The 18,350-nt window shown below is 45.7% G+C and overlaps 1 protein-coding gene across 2 annotated transcripts in view, besides 5 other annotated features; it reads left to right on the top strand.

Moving 5' to 3' along the window:
• Window positions 1-18,350, top strand: part of SAFB2 (scaffold attachment factor B2) — a 35,778-nt gene that overhangs the window by 708 nt on the left and 16,720 nt on the right. For both annotated transcript variants that reach the window (NM_014649.3, XM_011528449.4), the window contains exons 2-11: window positions 673-760; window positions 5,583-5,647; window positions 5,734-5,937; window positions 8,542-8,604; window positions 9,502-9,529; window positions 10,439-10,949; window positions 11,381-11,430; window positions 11,974-12,074; window positions 17,133-17,282; window positions 17,374-17,486. In NM_014649.3, coding sequence (NP_055464.1) covers window positions 673-760; window positions 5,583-5,647; window positions 5,734-5,937; window positions 8,542-8,604; window positions 9,502-9,529; window positions 10,439-10,949; window positions 11,381-11,430; window positions 11,974-12,074; window positions 17,133-17,282; window positions 17,374-17,486 — 1,373 coding nt within the window. The remainder of the gene's footprint in view (window positions 1-672; window positions 761-5,582; window positions 5,648-5,733; window positions 5,938-8,541; window positions 8,605-9,501; window positions 9,530-10,438; window positions 10,950-11,380; window positions 11,431-11,973; window positions 12,075-17,132; window positions 17,283-17,373; window positions 17,487-18,350) is intronic.
• Window positions 22-754: an enhancer, noted in NCBI's record as "H3K4me1 hESC enhancer chr19:5621326-5622058 (GRCh37/hg19 assembly coordinates)". NCBI's record gives its function as "activates a minimal SCP1, AML or CMV promoter by ChIP-STARR-seq in primed H9 embryonic stem cells {active_cell/tissue: H9 hESC(primed)}" and the evidence as "EXISTENCE:reporter gene assay evidence [ECO:0000049][PMID:30033119]".
• Window positions 22-893: a biological region, named in NCBI's record as "H3K4me1 hESC enhancer GRCh37_chr19:5621326-5622058".
• Window positions 673-893: a silencer, noted in NCBI's record as "fragment chr19:5621187-5621407 (GRCh37/hg19 assembly coordinates)". NCBI's record gives its function as "represses an EF-1alpha promoter that drives an FKBP-Casp9 reporter gene in an ReSE screen in K562 erythroleukemia cells {active_cell/tissue: K562}" and the evidence as "EXISTENCE:reporter gene assay evidence [ECO:0000049][PMID:32094911]".
• Window positions 4,918-5,087: an enhancer, noted in NCBI's record as "experimental_51744 CRE fragment used in MPRA reporter constructs". NCBI's record gives its function as "activates a minimal promoter by MPRAs in K562 erythroleukemia cells, with activity observed for both the introgressed and non-introgressed 19:5617078 variant alleles {active_cell/tissue: K562}" and the evidence as "EXISTENCE:reporter gene assay evidence [ECO:0000049][PMID:34662402]".
• Window positions 9,060-10,259: an enhancer, noted in NCBI's record as "CDK7 strongly-dependent group 2 enhancer chr19:5611821-5613020 (GRCh37/hg19 assembly coordinates)". NCBI's record gives its function as "activates an origin of replication core promoter dependent on BRD2, BRD4, P300/CBP, MED14 and CDK7 cofactors, with strong dependence on CDK7, by STARR-seq in HCT116 cells {active_cell/tissue: HCT116}" and the evidence as "EXISTENCE:reporter gene assay evidence [ECO:0000049][PMID:35650434]".

The following is an 18,350-nucleotide window of genomic DNA, read 5'->3' as shown; positions in this document are numbered from 1 at the left end:
TCTTCTCGTGGCCGGCCCCTTGTTGTCATTTTGGGTCTGCCTGAGACATCACCTTCCTGAGCGCCCTTCCTAATGCGCTGCCCCACCTCCTTGCCAGCTCATCCTGCGTTTGTGTCGCACCTCGCTGAAAGCAGGGGCTAAATGCAAAATATTAAGGGGTTGGGAATTGTCTGTTTCCGCAACTGGAACAAACAACTTGAGCATAGGGAGGGAGCTTGTGGGTACCCAGTCCTGGACCCGGCAGGTGGCAGGCACTGAGGGACCTGTTGAATCTCCCCAGGCTGGCTGCTGTTCCTCCTCACCAGCGGTGGCCAGCCCTTCACCGAGGCCGGGCCAAGTGCAGCCTCTCTGTTCTAATTTGTCCCATCATATAACTTTAAAGTCGAAGGTTTGGCATTGTCGAGTTGAGTTGCCATTTTGGAACTGGTCCTTGACCCCAATTCTGGAGCTCCTGCTCACAGCCTCCCTCTCCTTTGTCATTTGGACCCAGAGAGACCCAAGTTGTGCGGGGTTCCTCCTCCGCCTTTTGGGCTTGCGGCCCAGATAGCTGACCCGGAGTTGCTCTTTGCAAGGACGGGTTTGCCTTTGTTTCATGGGAGGTTGTTACTTGTAAGGAACAGTGTGTGCCCTGCAGCTCTTAATGATGTTGTAAAACTCATCTCTCCCTAATAGGCGGTTAAAGAAGAGGGGCAAGATCCTGATGAAATTGGCATCGAGTTAGAAGCCACCAGCAAGAAGTCAGCCAAGAGATGTGTTAAAGGTATTGTACATATGCTGCTTGGGGCTTGAGTGTTCAGAGAATTTAGAGAAATGGTGTGTAGTGTGCTCTTCCCGCCTTCTAGGCTGGGAGAATTTCTCTGGTACTCGGTGTCCCTCCACTAAGAGTTAGCTTTGCTCGTCACCACCTAACAGGTAGCTCTGTCAAGGGCACAGGGAGGAGGAAAGAGATGTACAGGTGCCAAGTGCAATTAAAATATACGAAAAACGTTTCAGCTTCTGCCATTGGGATTAAAAGTCAACTAGAGAAAGACAAGCTCTTAAAGCTACTTCTACGGGTCTGAGGAACCAAATGTACCTACTTGGCTTCCTTCCTGGTTCAAAAAATAGGTCTTAACCCAAAGAAAAGGACACCAACCTGAGACCGAATAGAACTCAGCTTTGCTAGGGTCCAAAGTAGATTGTTGGGGTATTTGCACTCAGCCTATTTTTTACTATTACGGTTTTTGAATGTGAAGGTTTAATTCACAGACCGTTAAATTCATCAGGTTAAGGTGTACAATTCAGTGCTTCCTAGTGTATACACAAGGCTCTGCCACCACCACCACCGTCTCCTTCTGGATTTTCATCACCCAAAAAGGAAACCCGGTCCTCATTAGAAGTTAGTCGCCTTACTTTTCTCCCTCCAGCCCCTGGCAACTACTAATCCATGTTCTGTCCGCATAGATTTGCCTATTGTGGACATTTCATGTAGATGGAATTGTACAACATATGGCCATTTGCATCAGCTTTCACGTAGCATAATGCTTAAAGTTCATCTGTGTTGTAACATGTATTGATACTTCATTCCTGTTTATGGCTGATACCAGTTATTTTTGAAAGCATTGAATTCCATAAAACTTTGAAGCTTTGACTATCCCAGTTGGTATTGTTAGGTTTTATGGTGATAAGGATAATATAATTTAGGTTTCCTGTGCAGGGGGCCTGTTTTCTTGGAAAAGTGCTAAATTCAGGCAGTGGAGGATCAGTGCTTAGAAAGTAGAAAGAAATTGTAGCATTTTTAACAATTTCATTTTTTTAATAGCTTTTTCTTCTTAATGTGTTTCATAACACATTAACTGTTTAAAACATGTGCATGTAGTTTGAAAGATTAAATCTTTTAGTTAGGTTGCATAAGAGCTTTAAGTTAAAGTTTAATTTTGACACATGGATGCGTTTTTGCTGTTCTTGTGAGTGTCCGTATTTCACCTAGAAGGCCCAGCCTGAGCACATTCAGAATGTGAGAGACTGGTCTACGCAGGAAATATAGTTTATCTCTTCTGTTTAGGTGTTAACTTATGCATGATGTGAATTTTCTTTTTTTAGTGGTTGGGAAAACTGCTTAACAATAAAGTTTAAAAGTTTTTTATGTAGGTGCTCATTTTAAAACTGTAAAGTTCAAGACTTACTACTCAAAATATCCTTGGCTTTTAGCAGGAATTTAACAGGGATTTTTTTTTTTTTTTTGCGATGGAGTTTTGCTGTTGTTGCCCAGGCTGGAGTGCAGTGGTGCGGTCTTGGCTCACTGCAACCTCCGCCTCCCGGGTTCAAGTGATTCTTGTGCCTCAGCCTCCTGAGTAGCTGCGATTACAGGTGCCCGTCGCCACGCCCAGCTACTTTTTTATATTTTTAGTAGAAACGTGGTTTCACCATCCATGTTGGCCAGGCTGGTCTCGAACTCCTCACCTCAGGTGATCCACCCGCCTGGGCCTCCCAAAGTGCTGGGATTAGAGGCATGAGCCACTGTGCCCGGCCTAGCAGGGATCATTTCTAATGATCTTTGCATCATTAGAAAAACTAAACTTTAGCTGAGTGCTTTGAAGACCTGCCTGAATGTCTAGATTAAAGCTTAGGTGGATTCAAAACTACTTGGAGTTAGTGTTTTGTCAGGAAAGCTTGGATGATAAAGTTCTTCTGTTGCTATAAAAAGGACTTTTGTAGCCTCAGCTCTAGTGAGGGTTAGAAGGGCTTCTGATCCCTTCCCATTCCTTTTTCAGAGAAGTAACCAAGCCCAGAGAGAGCCCAGGTCTTCAGGTGGTGCTCAGGCCCTGCAGGCCTCATCTTCCATCCTGAGCTGGTGATGTTCTCTAGAGGTGTCGGGGCACGTGGCTAATGGATAAAGCACAAGAGCCTTAGGACTTTGTGGTTGCAGTTAGGGCCTGTGATTACATACAACTGTTAGATCAGGAGGAATTCACCAGTTAATTTTCGTTTCAAGCACTATGCAGCAGTGTTCAGTTGAGTCCAAAGTTGGACTCATTCTGGGAACTCACCAGTAACTGCTTCCTTGCAAAAACTGAAGTAGCCAAACTTGTTGAGGGAAAAGTGTCCTCATTATAAATCAGAGTAAGGGTCTTCACCAAGATTAGGAGTCCTAGGCAACATTGTAGGTGGGTTTGGAAAAAATAAAACTTGGATTAAAAATTTAAGTTTTAGATGCCATGTGGGATTAAAGTTGGATTTTCTTACATCTGTGTCCCCAGCAGCGGCAGCTTTTCGTTGGCCAATGCCAGGTGCCGGGGATTGGGGCGTCGCCTGTCTGCGCCACATTAGCTTTTCTGTGATGCTTTTTGGTCAGCATTTCTCCTATTTCCGGCCTATGTGGGCACTGCAGGCTACTATTTAGGGGCCTAGAAATTGGGTGCAATTACCAAACATTTTTAGACAACGTATTTCAAAAGGATATGCTGTGTTTAGATATAATGCGAAGTGGGACAGCTGAGTTTTAGAGTGCCAGCTTTGGAGCTCAACCAAATTCTCGTGTCAAATGCAGATAATAAAACCTGCTAGCGTTGTTAGGCGTCTTAAATGATAGACTGGAAAAAGCTCACGTTGCGAGACATGCAATTAAACTGCATTTCTTGAGTGATTATTGATAATAGTGGTGAGTGAGACTCTTGAGGTGTAGACCCTGCAGGTTTTTTATGTTTAATTTTCTTTCTTTTTTTTTTGAGACGGAGTCTCGCTCTGTTGCCCAGGCTGGAGTACAGTGGTGCAATCTCGGCTCACTGCAAGCTCCGCCTCCCGGCTTCAGGCCATTCTCCTGCCTCAGCCTCCCGAGTAGCTGAGACTACAGGCGCCCGCCACCACGTCCGGCTGTTTTTCTATTTTTAGTAGAGACGGGAAAGTATGTATTTTTTTCTGTTTGATTTTTCTTTATCGGTGTGTATGTTAGAGAGACTCGGTCTTACTCTGTTGCCCAGAGCGGAGGGCAGTGGCATGATCGTGGCAGCCTCAAGCTCTCAGGCTCGGAGCATCCTCCCACCTCATTCTCACCGGTAATTCAGAGTACAGGTACATAACACCATGCCTGGCTAATTTTTGTATTTTTGGTGGAGATGGGGGTCTCACTTTGTTGCCCGAACTTGTCTCTTAATTCCTAGGCTCAAGCGAGCCACCTGCCTTAGCCTCCCAAAATGCTGGGATTACAGGCGTGAACCACTGTGCCTACACTGTGGGCATTTTTTCTGTTTCATTAAATATTCTTTAAAAGCATACATTCTTTAAATATTGTGAGACATTGGATGGTGTCCCACAGGGTTTCTCAGCATTGGCACTGTTGACAATTTGGGCCGAAGAATTCTCTGGGGTTGGGGAGTATCCTGTGCATTGCAGGGTCGTGACCAGCATCACTAGCTACTGATGCTAATGGCGTTCCCCCAGGTCATGACCACTAACAATGTCTCCAGACATTGCCAGCCATTCCCCCCGGTTGTGAACCATATCTGAATGAAAATATGCTGTAATTTGTTTCCCTTTTGGGTGTTTAACAGGTATAATAGGACAGATATCTATGTTTTGAACTCCTTGTCAGATATCCTAAGACTCAAATTCCTGGAACAAAGGGTATGCACATTTGTAAGGTTTTTGATACATATAGAGCCTCAAGTTTCTTCTCAAGGTTTCCACTCTTGAACTCCTCTGGCCTCCTTTTGCAATTCCTAGCAGAATTCTATCAAATAGTTATTTTGTGGTCACAAAACCCAGGATGATTCTCGACTTTATGGCAGCCTTTGCCTTTTTGCCTTGGGGGAAAAAAAAAAGTTCTTGAGCTAAAAAATGACAAAGACCTACTTGAAATGGGTGGAATATAGGGAGAGCCAGCAAATCACTAACTCAATATGTTATTTTATGTTGCAGTTCTTTGGTTACTAGATGGGTATTGCATTTTTTTGTTGGTTTGTTGAAAATGCCTGTTTTTATCCTTTGCTCATTTTTTTGTGATTTTTTTTCTTAGGTTTGGAGTGTTTTTGAAATATTTGGAAACTTTTAGATATTTTGTGGAAAATCAGAGTACTCTGAATCTAAGAGGAATCCTAGATTTTCATCTCCCTGTTGATGGCTTACTTAGAACACCAATTGAGGCCGGGCACCATGGCTCATGCCTGTAATCCCAGCACTTTGGGAGACCGAGGCTGGTGGATCACGAGGTCAGGAGTTTGAGACCAGCCTGGCCAATATGGTGAAACCCCATCTCTACTAAAAATACAAAAATAAGCTGGGCATGGTGATGCACGCCTGTAGTCCCAGCTGCTGAGGAGGCTGAGGCAGGAGAATCGCTTGAACCCAGGAGGTGGAGATTGCAGTGAGCCGAGATTGTGCCGCTGCACTCCAGCCTGGGTGACACAGGGAGACTCCATCTCAAAAAAAAAAAAAAAAAAAAAAAAAAGAAAACAAATTGAGACAAAATTACGTGTGACAGGAGAGGGGAGACTTATAGTTTATCTTGTAATGTGTTCTGTTCTAAGATTGAAATCTATTCTGCATAAACTAATTATGAGGTAGAACTTGAGTGTTATCTGATTGAACAATTATTCTGTAATTAGGACTGAAGATGGAGGAGGAAGGCACAGAAGATAATGGCCTGGAAGACGATTCCAGAGACGGGCAGGTAAGTGATGTCAGGGTAGAGATGACAAGCAGCAGCTCCCTGTCCTGGTCCAGGTGGTCGTTAACGATTCTTCTTCCTCTTTACAGGAGGACATGGAAGCAAGTCTGGAGAACCTGCAGAATATGGGCATGATGGACATGAGTGTGCTAGACGAAACTGAAGTGGCGAATAGCAGTGCTCCAGATTTTGGGGAGGATGGCACGGACGGCCTTCTCGATTCCTTTTGTGATAGTAAAGAATACGTGGCTGCACAGCTGAGACAGCTCCCGGCTCAGCCCCCAGAGCATGCTGTAGGTAACTTGGAGACACGGCAGGATGTGCCCATAGCCCCGAGGCACCTGGTGCTCGCGTGCTGCTCGTGTGAGGGAGAACACAGCTAAACCGCCATGAACACACAGTTCTGCTTCTACACCCTGGTGTTAAACCATGTCCATTTAAACGCTGTGTAGCTCAGGGATTTACTCATAGATAGCTTTTCTGTAGCACTGGGGAGTGTTTTTATAATTCGAAGCATGTGGTGAGTCATAAAATAGAAAGCTCTGACATAAAAGATTTTTCTTTTCTGAGATGAGGTCTCAACTGTTACCCAGGCCGGTCTTGAACTCTTGGGCTCCAGCGATCCTCCTGACTACCTGGGCTTATTGGCACAGGCCACAGTGCCCATTTAGTTTTTTCCTTTTAAAATACAGTTTTAAGAAGCAAAGATGGTTTATTTATTTAGAGACAGGGTCTTGCTCTGTTGTGCAGGCTGGAGTGCAGTGGGGTCATCATAATTCACTGCAGCCTCAGCCTCCCAGGTTCAAGCAATCCCCCTGCATAACTGAGACTACACAGTGAACCACCACGCCCAGCTAATTAAAAAAAAATTTTTTTTTTTTTAGAGGCGGGATCTCACTAGGTTACCCAGGTTGATCTTGAACCCCTGAGCTCAAGCAATCCTCCCGCCTCAGCCTCCCAGAGTGCTGGGATTATAGGTGTGGTCCACCGTGCCCAGCTCAAAAATGGTTTCTAATCTCATCATGTAGATATTCCTCCTAATGTTGTGTTTTGTTTGTTTGTTTGTTTTTGAGACAGAGTCTCTCTCAGTCACCCAGGCTGGAGTGCAGTGGCAAGATTATGGCTCACTGCAACCTCCGCCTCCCTGATTCAAGCAATTCTCCTGCCTCAGCCTCCTGAGGAGCTGGGACCAGAGGCATGCGCCACCACGCCCAGCTGATTTTTTTATATTTTTAGTAGAGATGGGGTTTCACCATGTTGGCCATGATGGTCTCCATCTCCTGACGTCGTGATCTGCCCGCCTTGGCCTCCCAAAGTGCTGGGATTACAGGCTTGAGCCACTGCGCCCAGCCACTTGACTAATTTTTTATATTTTTGGTAGAGATAGGGTTTCATCATGTTGGCTGAGCTGGTCTCGAACTCCTGACCTCAAGTGATCTGCCTGCCTCGGCCTCCCAAAGTGCTGGGATTATAGTGGTGAGTCACCACGCCTAGCCTGTTAATGTTGTTTTAAGCAAGGTTAAGCAGTTACATTAAAAGATGTAAAGTACAGTGAAGACAAGTATCAACCCTGCTCCCCAAAAGGACTGACTGTGAGCATCCTTGTATGTAAAGGAGGAACTTTGCTCTGTTAGGGCTTTCCCAGCTTTTCACTTCTAGTGTTTTGGCGTAGAGCTCTCTGGTGAGGCTGTTCAAATATCACAAGCTGTCAGTGTCTTCGAGCTGATCTTCATTGTACTCTGACTGATGTCACGTGCCCAGTAGGTTGTTTTGTTTCCTTAAGGCATTGCAGCTTTCAGCTTGGGGGTGGAAATGCCTCCATAGGACTGAACCTTAAACCTTACGGTCAAAAGTCATTGCCTCCAAATTTACCATCCTTTGACCTAGGGCAGCACTGAGCAACTGGTTAGCCGCCTTTCTCAGTCTGGTACTGCTGTGTGCTTATTGTTTTCAGAGTGTGTACTTCTCAGTTAATGGAGGCATCCCAGGTCATGAGTTCAAATCGAGAAAAGGAAAAAAGAAAATATTTGGGAGTGCTGTTTTTGTAGTTCACTTAAAAAGAGCTTCAGATTTAGTAAAACTTGGTGTTAACAGTTTTTCTTTTGTTTGGCATGTAGTAAAGAGAGAAATTGACCAAGTTAGATGTTTGTTTTTAATAAAGTAGGCTAGGCGGGCCAGGCGCGGTGGCTCACACCTGTAATCCCAACACTCCGGGAGGCTGAGGTGGGCGGATCACCTGAGGTCAGGAGTTCAAGACCAGCCTGGACATGGTGAAACCCCGTCTCTACTAAAACATACAAAAAATTAGCCGGGCGTGGTGGTGCATGCCTGTAATCCTAGCTCCTCGGGAGGCTGAGGCAGGAGAATTGCTTGAACCCAGGAGGTGGAGGTTGCAATGAGCCGAGATGGCGCCATTGCACTCCAGCCTGGGCAAAAGGAGTGACACTCCGTCTCAAATGAATGAGTGAATGAATGAATGAATAAAGTAGGCTAGGAGAAAGTGCCCGGTTAGTGTTACCTTAAGAGTATTGCTACCAGGTGAAATTGGAGGGGTGCATTTTATCATTTTGAGTTCTGCTTTGGAAATCCTGTGATTGGAGGGGTATGTGGTAATCACCAGTACTTAGAAACTGCCTGGGAAATTCATTCGTTCATTCACCCAGTACAGACAGGGCATACCCACCTGCAGGCCACTGCCAGAGACGCTGGTGGAGCAGAGTCGTGGAGTGTGTGTTCTGGCGGAGAGGCAGGTGCTGAACTGAATGACCCAACAGTAGACTTGCAGATGGCAAAAGGTGCCGTGAGGGAAATAGACACACAAGTTGCCTAAGCGAGGTGTCAGCCTTGGTTTTCATAGCTCCAGCCTCCACGAAGTCATCTTCCATTTTGTTTTTCAGGTGGATGGGGAAGGATTTAAGAACACTTTGGAAACTTCATCGTTGAACTTCAAAGTAACTCCGGTAAGTTACCATCTGGTTCTGCATCGCTGGAAATGTTAATCGAGTGGTTGATTTTCCATAATGAAAGAGCAGTGTGTATGTGTATGGAAATGACTGGATACTGTGCTGGATGCTGGGGTTAAGAGGTTAGCAGAAGAGAAACAGTCTCAGGGCTGGCCATCTAGCAGGGGCAGTGGGATCAAACCAAATATGTAACCAGAAGGGAGAAAGAAGTGTGATGAGGGAGCAGTTCTGGTGGTTGGACTTCATAAGTGCCTGGAACTCTTCCCAGAGGTCTGACGGATAGGTTGAAGAGGGAAAGAAGAATTTGGAGCAGAAAGTTTGGGTGGTGTCTCTGATGCAAAAGAGAGAGGGGAGCACACAGGGTTGGATAGAAGCCAGAGGTGTTGCAGAGCAGCTGGGCCCGCCTCGCTGAGTCTGGGCCACCAGAAGGATTGGACCTATTGTCCTAAGTGAGACAGATGTCGGAAAAGGTTTTCAGCAGAGTAGAGAGATCATTTTGTTATGACAGGTTTCAGTTACAAATCAGTTTATGTTGGGAGAAGTATTTTTTTCTTAAATCCACTGTGACCTCTTCTCTGACAAAGGGGGTGTTTGCCAGCTGCAGCAGCCACTAGGTCAGCTTGGTCATGGGGTGGGTGGCATGGCAGGGCAGGGCCCAAACTCGGGAGAATGGGACAGACTGTTATCACTAGGGACCTGCTGTTACCAGGGAAACTGTTAAAATGAGCTGGTTTTCATCAGGTTATTGTAGGATGGAATACATTTTTTGGAGACAAGAAAGTTTTGTGGAAACAGGCATTTATTCACAGATGATTGAAAGCCATATTTACTGGTGAAATGTATGTGCCCCGTGTTTAAAGTGACTTGTGGATTTGCTTTTTCTTTTTTAAATAGGACATTGAAGAATCCCTTTTGGAGCCAGGTACTGATAAGAGAAACACGACAGTTATGGTTTGAAAGTTTTCACACTATTATTTTAAAGCTGTCTATATTTTAAGCTGTGTTATGATCTTGTAAATTGCTCTAATGGTGGACAATCCAGATCATACAAGGATCAGAGATTGGAAACCCATTCGTATCACCAGATCTGTGGAAGAGCCATTCTGGCTTCTTGAGGTCAAATACATTTGGTGCAATGTAGTAGTGATTCTTTTCATGTCTAACCACGTAGAGTGGCATTTAATTCCCCCGTCCCCGTGATTCCTCCATGTGTTTCTACACATGAAACAGATCTTGTGATATTTTGCTGCAGTCATTTTGATTAACGCAGTTAAGGCAGGATAAAGCTGTTGTCAGGGCACTTACCACCTGAGAAGTGACTGGATTCCAGAAGAGGAAACAGAGTTTCTCCGTGAAAATTTTCAACATATTATTCCCCTTCCGGACTGCGTTTATCTCCCACCGTCAGAAGAGATTCTGATTTTCATATTGGATTGTTCTGTTAAAAGAAATTCAAAGAAATTTGGAAGTTGAGCTGTCATTGAATGGTGATTGCATTCGGTTCAGCACCTTGGACATTGGAAAATCAGTCAGAAGACCCAGACTTGAACAAAAACTCGAAGAAGACTATTGAGAACCAGCCGCGTGGTTGTAGGTGTTTAAATCTGTGGGGGCCTTTTCTCTTCCGTGTAGCGTAGAGGCTTACCTAGAGGCGGTCGCGGCGCAGGTAGTGTAACCAGTATAACTTTGTGTACCCGCGGGTTTTCCAATCTCTGTGTAGCTAGCAGTTCTCTTCGTGTTAGTGTGGCAGCCGTGCCAGTTCCACATTTGTGATTGCTTTATTTCCCTGGTAATTAAACCTTGTGCCATTCTATTCCTGTTAAATCCGTAGAAAATGAGAAAATACTCGACATTTTGGGGGAAACTTGTAAATCTGAGCCAGTAAAAGAAGAAAGTTCCGAGCTGGAGCAGCCATTTGCACAGGACACAAGTAGCGTGGGGCCAGACAGAAAGCTTGCGGAGGAAGAGGACCTATTTGACAGCGCCCATCCGGAAGAGGGTGATTTAGATTTGGCCAGCGAGTCAACAGCACACGCTCAGTCGAGCAAGGCAGACAGCCTGTTAGCGGTAGTGAAAAGGGAGCCCGCGGAGCAGCCAGGCGATGGCGAGAGGACGGACTGTGAGCCTGTAGGGCTAGAGCCGGCAGTTGAGCAGAGTAGTGCGGCCTCCGAGCTCGCGGAGGCCTCTAGCGAGGAGCTCGCAGAAGCACCCACGGAAGCCCCAAGCCCAGAAGCCAGAGATAGCAAAGAAGACGGGAGGAAGTTTGATTTTGACGCTTGTAATGAAGTCCCTCCGGCTCCTAAAGAGTCCTCAACCAGTGAGGGCGCTGATCAGAAAATGAGGTTTGTTTTTTCTCAGTTTTAGACCAGACGCTATCTCCTTTTCATTGGTCATGTAATGACACACATAAGCTGTTTTTTTCTGCAATTGGCCAGCCAGACTGACGAAATTGTAGTTTTGCTTCTAAAGAATGTTTCGTTTCTCTTTGTGTGTTTTTAATGGGTGATTCAATTCCTTTTCTTTTTCTCAACCTACCATGGTTGTGTTCTTAAATTGTTAATTGTTATCTTCAGCTAAATCGAATTGACTTTTACAAATCTGACATTGTATTTTTGGGGTCAGATTTTCCAATATAAGCTTGCAGAGGTGTCTGTTAAAATTTTATTTCAGACTAATTTTCTGGTAGGTATTCAGTTTTAGCACATAATCATATTTTTAGTTTTGTTCTCTTTCGTTTTTTTCCTGTATGAGTAACATTAACTTTTGTCTCTAGCTCTTTTAAGGAAGAAAAAGATATAAAGCCAATCATTAAAGATGAAAAAGGTATGATTTAATTTAACGTGGTAGGGAGCCAGGTATGGTTCCCTTATTTTGGGAGGAGGGGCCTGGAGATATACACACTTTGGATTCAGTAATTTGTTTTGTTATGGGTTACCGGAATCAACCACCTAATGGTTTCTTGAGAGACTAGTTTTAGAAGTTCGCAAGCACCTGCATTTTATGTTTCTCTTGTGGTTGTCATCTATGGGATGGTGAAAAGCACATTACAAGAAAGGAATAATTCTGCTCATTGAAGACTGTTTCAAGGATTTTAGAGACTGCCGTCTTGGATGAGATCTGATCATCAAAAGACATTTCAGTTCATAACTGACATGGGCATGATTATTCCTTGAGTAAGGAAACTCAGTTTTTGCTGTCCAGATTTTCAGCCTTCTGTGTGTTGGCATGTGTGTGTGCGTTAAATTCTTAAGTCAGCAGTTGGGATTGGGCGTCGTTAGGGTTTTTAAAGAGGGCTGCGGTCTTAAGAATGGTTGTGCTTCCTGTTAGGCCTTGGGGTGATGCCTAAGAATCTCCCTCTCGTGCCAGGTCGGGTCGGCAGCGGTTCTGGTCGGAACCTGTGGGTCAGCGGGCTGTCCTCCACAACACGCGCTACGGATCTCAAGAACCTTTTCAGCAAGTATGGGAAGGTATGCCTTCCCTTGCCTCATACCATCCACTGTGATTCAGAGTTAAAAAGGAAGCTCTGCTGGGCACGGTGGTTCACGTCTATAATCCCAGCAGTTTGGGAGGCTGAGGCAGGAGGATTGCTTGAGCCCAGGAGTTCAAGACCAGCCTGGGCAACATAGCAAGATGTTGTGTTTACTAAAAAATGGAACGACAGCAGCGAAGCTCGCCCAGTCTTGTGCAGTGCACCTTGTTTCCTGACTCACAGTAACTAGGGTGCGGAGCAGGGCAGGTGGTTGGTCATATCACAACAGTGCTCAGAACAGCTGTATAAACAGCTTCTCTCTCAATGTTCTTGGGGTTCTTTCTAACTGGTCTCAAAGAGACTGGTGGTCTTTTGTCTTGTGCAAAACTTAAAGCTTACATGATGAGATTTTTCCCTTAAGAATAATTTGGGAGGCCGAGGCGGGCGTATCACCTAAAGTCAGGAGTTGGAGACCAGCCTGGCCAACATGGCGAAACCCTGTCTCTGCTAAAAATACAAAAATCAGCCAGCCGTGGTGTTCTGTGCCTGTAGTCGCAGCTACTCGGGAAGCTGAGGTGGGAGAATCACTTGAACCCAGGAGGCAGAGGTTGCAGTGAGCCAAGATTGTGCCACTGCACTCCAGCCTGGGTAACAGAGCGAGACTATGTCATAAAAAAAAAAAAAAAAAAAAAGAATGAAGTGAATAATTGACTTTCATATCATTTAGCATTTTAAGTATATAGTCTCATAACTAGAACATGATCGTGGTTCAAAAATAAATCACTAAGATGCTGCTCATGGGGGTGGGAGAAAAATAGTACAATTCAGCAGCTTTCCAAAGGAAGGTGAGGACAATTTAAAATGATTCCACTGTTTGAAATTAATTAAGAGTCTTCTTTTTTTGTTTGTTTGTTGTTCTTTTTTTTTTTTTTTTTTTTTTTGAGACTGCGTCTCGCTCTGTTGCCCAGGCTGAAGTGCAGTGGTGTGATCTTGGCTCACTGCAGCCTCCGCCTCCCTCCCAGGTTCAAGTGATTCTCGTGCCTTAGCTTCTCGAGTAGCTGGGATTACAGGCACCCACCACCATGCCTGGCTAATTTTTGTATTTTCAGTAGAGATGGGGTTTCGCCATGTTGGCCAGACTGGTCTCCAACTCCTGACCTATGTGATCTGCCTGCTTGGCCTCCCAAAATGCTGGGATTACAGGCGTGAGCCACCGCGCCTAGCCAAGAGTCTTCTGGTAAGCAATTGGCACTGCCCTGGTCTCCTGGGTGCCTCTGGGGAGTGGCTTCCAAGGGACAAGGTTCGGACCATTTAGTGTCTGGAGGGTGCCCTGATTCCAGGCAGAGTGGGCCCTGTCTGACACAGTTTTCTGGCTACAGAAGCCGTTCCTTTGTCTAGGTCTGTGTCACCCGATCAGGTGTTGGTTAATGTTTCATTGCTTAAGAAGCGGACAGGACCCGGAGAAAGCGTGCTGTTCAATTTTTCTCTGAACAGTCTGTGTGTTCAGCAAGGGCTTAGGAAATTCTTATAGCCATGAATAACCTGTTTATTCAGTTACTTTGTTGACTTCACTCGGACACTGATGATTAAGCAGAGGTAAACATACGTGGTCACTGTCATCACAGATTTTTTAGTCTGGCGGGAAAAAGACCATTTAAGAAATAAACACATATGATGTGTTGTGATGAGCGTATTAAGGAATATTAGAGCACGCCGTCAGTGTGTTGGGGAGGCCGTGTTTAGATTTGGGAGGCAGCTTCAGCAGAGCTCGCTGAAGAAGTGACATTCAGCTGAGGCGTGAGTGACAGAGTTGGCCTTACCTGTGGGGCTCAGCTCTGGACAAAAACAGAAGGACGTAGGAAGGCCAGAGGGGCAGGACACCACTCAGCTACTTGACTGAAGTATGCAGAGCCTCCAGGGCGGATGGCATAGCTCAGGGATAGGGACATACAAGCTTAGTATGGTGCCTGCTCTCATTTGGGTTTTGTCTGTCATCAGAAGAGATATACTTGTAAGGATGATTAATTTGATGGGAAGGTAGAATGGGAAGTGGCATCTGTGTTTCTCTCAGGAGAGTCTTCTGTCCCTTTGGCCCTGGACAGATTCAGGCAGAGCCTTGACTCCTCCATTTGTGTGGTCAAAACCAAGGACGTCAGATGGGAACCTCAAGCTTGTGGGTTCCACCTTGTCATTTCACAGTTGGGGCCATGAGGTCCAGAGACGGGGAATGCCTTGCTTAGGTTGATGCCCTGAGTCAGAGATAGGGCAGAGACCAGGACTCCTGTGTCCCGGGGAAATGTTTACTCTGCGCGCCAGTGGTGGTGGGCTTGGCGTTAGATCTACTGTCTTGTTCTCTATTTTCTGTTCATGTTTGTTTATTGATCTCTTTTTCCCATTTATCTGCCTTCTTGTGGGTCGAGTCCTTTTTATGACTGATGGCTTATTTGCTCTAACTCTGTGTCATTGTGGTTTACTGTAGGATTACAGTACACATCTTCCCTTACAGTCTGTCTGCAAGGGGTGCTCTGTTGGTTTCAGCGTAGTGCAAGAACTCTGTGGGAATATACTTGCATTTCCCCTCCCGTCGATCTTTGTGATGTTATTGTCATACGGTTTACTTCTCTTTAAGAAGTCACCCAATATTTTATTGGCTTTGACTTGTTGTGGTTTGGCTTTTTTGCTTTGAACAGTTGTGTTTTTTTTTGTTTTTGTTTTTGTTTTTGTTTGTTTTTGAGACGGAGTCTCGCTCTGTCGCCTAGGCTGGAGTGCAGTGGCGCGATCTCGGCTCACTGCAAGCTCTGCCTCCTGGGTTCATGCCATTCTCCTGCCTCAGCCTCCCAAGTAGCTGGAACTACAGGTGCCCGCCACCAGGCCTGGCTAATTTTTTGTATTTTAAGTAGAGATGGGGTTTCACTGTGTTAGTCAGGATGGTCTTGATCTCCTGACCTCGTGATCCTCCCACCTCGGCCTCCCAAAGTGCTGAGATTACAGGCGTGAGCCACCACGCCCAGCCAAACAGTTATATTTTAAAGAGACCCAGAAATGACAGGAAAAAATCATGTTCACCTCACCAGGTGCTCTTCGTTGCTTTTTGTTGTATATCCAAGTTCCCATCGGAGATCATCTTCCTCCCTCCTGAAGGAATTGAATGTTTCCTGTAGTGCAGGTTTGCTGGTGATACGTTCTTGTTTCTTTTGCATGTCAGAAAAAGTCTTTACTTTGTCTTCATTTTGAAATAAATTTTCACTGGGTATAGAATTCTAGGTTAATTTAATCTTTGTTCCTTCAGTTACCAATTTGTGTCTTTTCTCTCTCTTTTTCTGTGGCTGCTTTTAAGTTTCTTCTGGTTTTTTTGTTTTGTTTTGTTTTCCCTTAGAGACAGGATCTCACTGTGTCACCCAGGCTGGAGTACAGTGGTGCTCACTGCAGCCTCGAGCTCCCGGGCTCAAGCGATCCTCTCACCTCAGCCTCCTGAGTAGCTGAGACCACAGGCATGTACCACTACACCCAGCTAATTTTTAAAATTTTTGGTACAGATGTGGTTTCTCTGTGTTGCCCAGGCTGGTTTTGAACACCTGGCCTCAAGTGATCTACCTGCCTTGGCCTCACAAAGTGCTGGGATTACAGGCATGAGCCACTGTGCCCAGCCTGTGCCTGGTAATTTTTTACTGGATGTTGTGAATTGTATTTTTTGGGTGCTAGTTATACTTGTATCTCTACAAATACCCTTGAGCTTTTTTCTGGGACACAGCTGAGGTACTGGACACACACTAAGGCAGGGCCAAAGTAGCCTTCAGTTTGGGCTGATTTTGTCTCACCACTGGGCAGTGCCCTCTGAGTAGTGGGTCTGATGGCCCGTGAATTACCAGCCTTTCCACCCTGGCTATTGGGAAGAGCAAACCATTTGTGGCCCTGAGTGCCCCTCCAGTGGTTGTTCCCTCTGCTCCTGATTGTTCCCTCTGCTCCTTATGGGTGGTGCTGTCCCAGCCTCTGGTTTCCTCGCACACGTGTGCACTGGGTGGGAGGAACCCTCTGTGGGTCTCTTCAGCTTGCTCTGCGTGGCTCTGTGTGGCTGTGTCCTCTCTGATACTCAGTTCCGTGATTTCTCTCTGTCTTGGTCTCAGAATCTCAGTGCTGTCTTACCCATCCCCCATTGCCTGGGAATCTAGGCAGTGAGCAGGGGCAGTCAGGGAGCTCTCAGGGATTGTTGTCTTGGGCAGCCTGATGTCCAGGATCTGAAAACTGTCGTTGCCTACGTTTCATCACATTTGTTAGTTGTTTCAGGCAGGAAGACAATGCTTAGTTCTCCCATCTCAGCCAGAAGTGGAAGTCCTTTCCCCATGGGGACATTTCTGACAGTCCATGTCTGTGTCAGAGCTCTTCTCAGGCCCAGCTGGAGTGGATGGGTGCATTTCTTAGTAGCCCCACAGCTGTTTGTGGGCACAGTGGAAATAGAGAAAACAATGTGGATGGGTAGGACTTCTGGTTATTAGTTGTGAGTAATGAAGTTTAATGGTTTTATAACCTTGCATGTTTGTGTGTTTTCCTTGTGATGACTTATCTTGTATTAAAAGCAGTTGTATTTAGTGGCTGGGTGCGGTGTCTCATGCCTGTAATCCCAGCACTTTGGGAGGCCGACTTGGGTAGATCACTTGAGGTCAGGAGTTGGAGACCAGCCTGGCCAACATGGAGAAACCCCATCTCTACTAAAAACACAAAAATTAGCCAGGCGTGGTGGCGGGCGCCTGTAATCCCAGCTACTTCGGAGGCTGAGGCGGGAGAATTGCTTGAACCCAGGAGGCGGAGGTCGCGGTGAGCCGAGATCGCGACACTGCACTCCAGCCTGGGTGACAGAGCGAAACTGTCTCAAAAAAAAAAAAAGCAATTGTATTTGGATAGGTCAGGATTAATTAGAACCAATTCAGTAACTAAAATGGAAAACTACCATATGGGGAGAGGTGACAAATAGTGAAAATGATTCTGATTGCCAGGTAATAACTTTAGCAAGTTGTGTGGTCATTTGTATGAGAGAGTAAGAGTGCCCTTTTTCATGAAGGTTGTCGGGGCCAAAGTGGTAACGAACGCCCGCAGCCCGGGGGCTCGATGCTATGGATTCGTCACCATGTCGACATCTGACGAGGCGACCAAGTGCATCAGCCATCTCCACAGAACTGAGCTGCATGGACGAATGATCTCCGTAGAGAAGGTGAGGCAGTTCTCGTCTATGGTAACTCGCAAATGGAGTTTGCAAGTGAGAAGCTCTGGGCCACACATCATTTCTGTCTATTATATTTTAGGCCAAAAATGAGCCTGCTGGGAAAAAGCTTTCCGACAGAAAAGAGTGCGAAGTGAAGAAGGAAAAATTATCGAGTGTCGACAGACATCATTCTGTGGAGATCAAAATTGAAAAGTAAAGTGAATTTTCAAACCTCCTCTTGGAATCCCTGGGAGGAGGGCACGGGCAGCCACCATGGGCCTTGAAAAACACGCATCTGTCCCCACCTGTACCCACGCAGCCTTGCCAGCTTCCTGCTGGAGTCTCAGCTGATTTTTGTGTTCTGCTGCCACTTTAATATTCAGCTTTTATTTATTTATTTTTTGGAGACAGGGACTCACTCTGTTGCCTAGGCTGGAGTGCAGTGGCACTGCAGCCTCCACCTTCCGGGTTCAAGTGATTCTCCTACTTCAGCCTCCCAAGTAACTGGGACTACTGCAGGCGTACACCACCCAGCCAGGCTACTTTTTATAGAGACGCGGTTTCGCCATGTTACCAAGGCTGGTCTCAAACTCCTGAGTTCACATGATTTGCCCGCCTTGGCCTCTCAAAGTGCTAGGATTACAGGTGTGAGCCACCACGCCCTGCCAGTCTTCAGCTTTCTGTGTAAAGCTATTTAACGAAGTAGCCCATGTCTTTAAGAAGTGGATACAGTTGATCCTCAGCATGTATTTGTTTCCTGATAACTGATTAGCCTTTTGAAAAAACAGTATACACAAAATGTCATTTTCCATATTCTGGTCCCTTGTACAGCCTCTCAGACCTTGGAATCATTTCCTCATCCACGTTGATTTTCATGCAGTTCTCACTTATTAATCACAGCAACTGTCATACACCCAGTTTTTCAAAGATAAAGCATCATCCAAAGGAATTTAGCCTGGTCTAGTGTTGCAGTGAATGACCTTGAGTGAGCAGTTGGTGCTGTGTCTGACAGATGGCAAAAGCATTGCTGTGTTTACCTCAAAATTAAAAATATTCCAAGGCACCCTGTGAGTTCAC

Source organism: Homo sapiens, chromosome 19 (assembly GCF_000001405.40).
Source record: "Homo sapiens chromosome 19, GRCh38.p14 Primary Assembly".
Taxonomy (NCBI): domain Eukaryota; kingdom Metazoa; phylum Chordata; class Mammalia; order Primates; family Hominidae; genus Homo; species Homo sapiens.
Note: the sequence above shows the minus strand (reverse complement) of the source record. Positions and strands in the feature narration are given on the sequence as shown.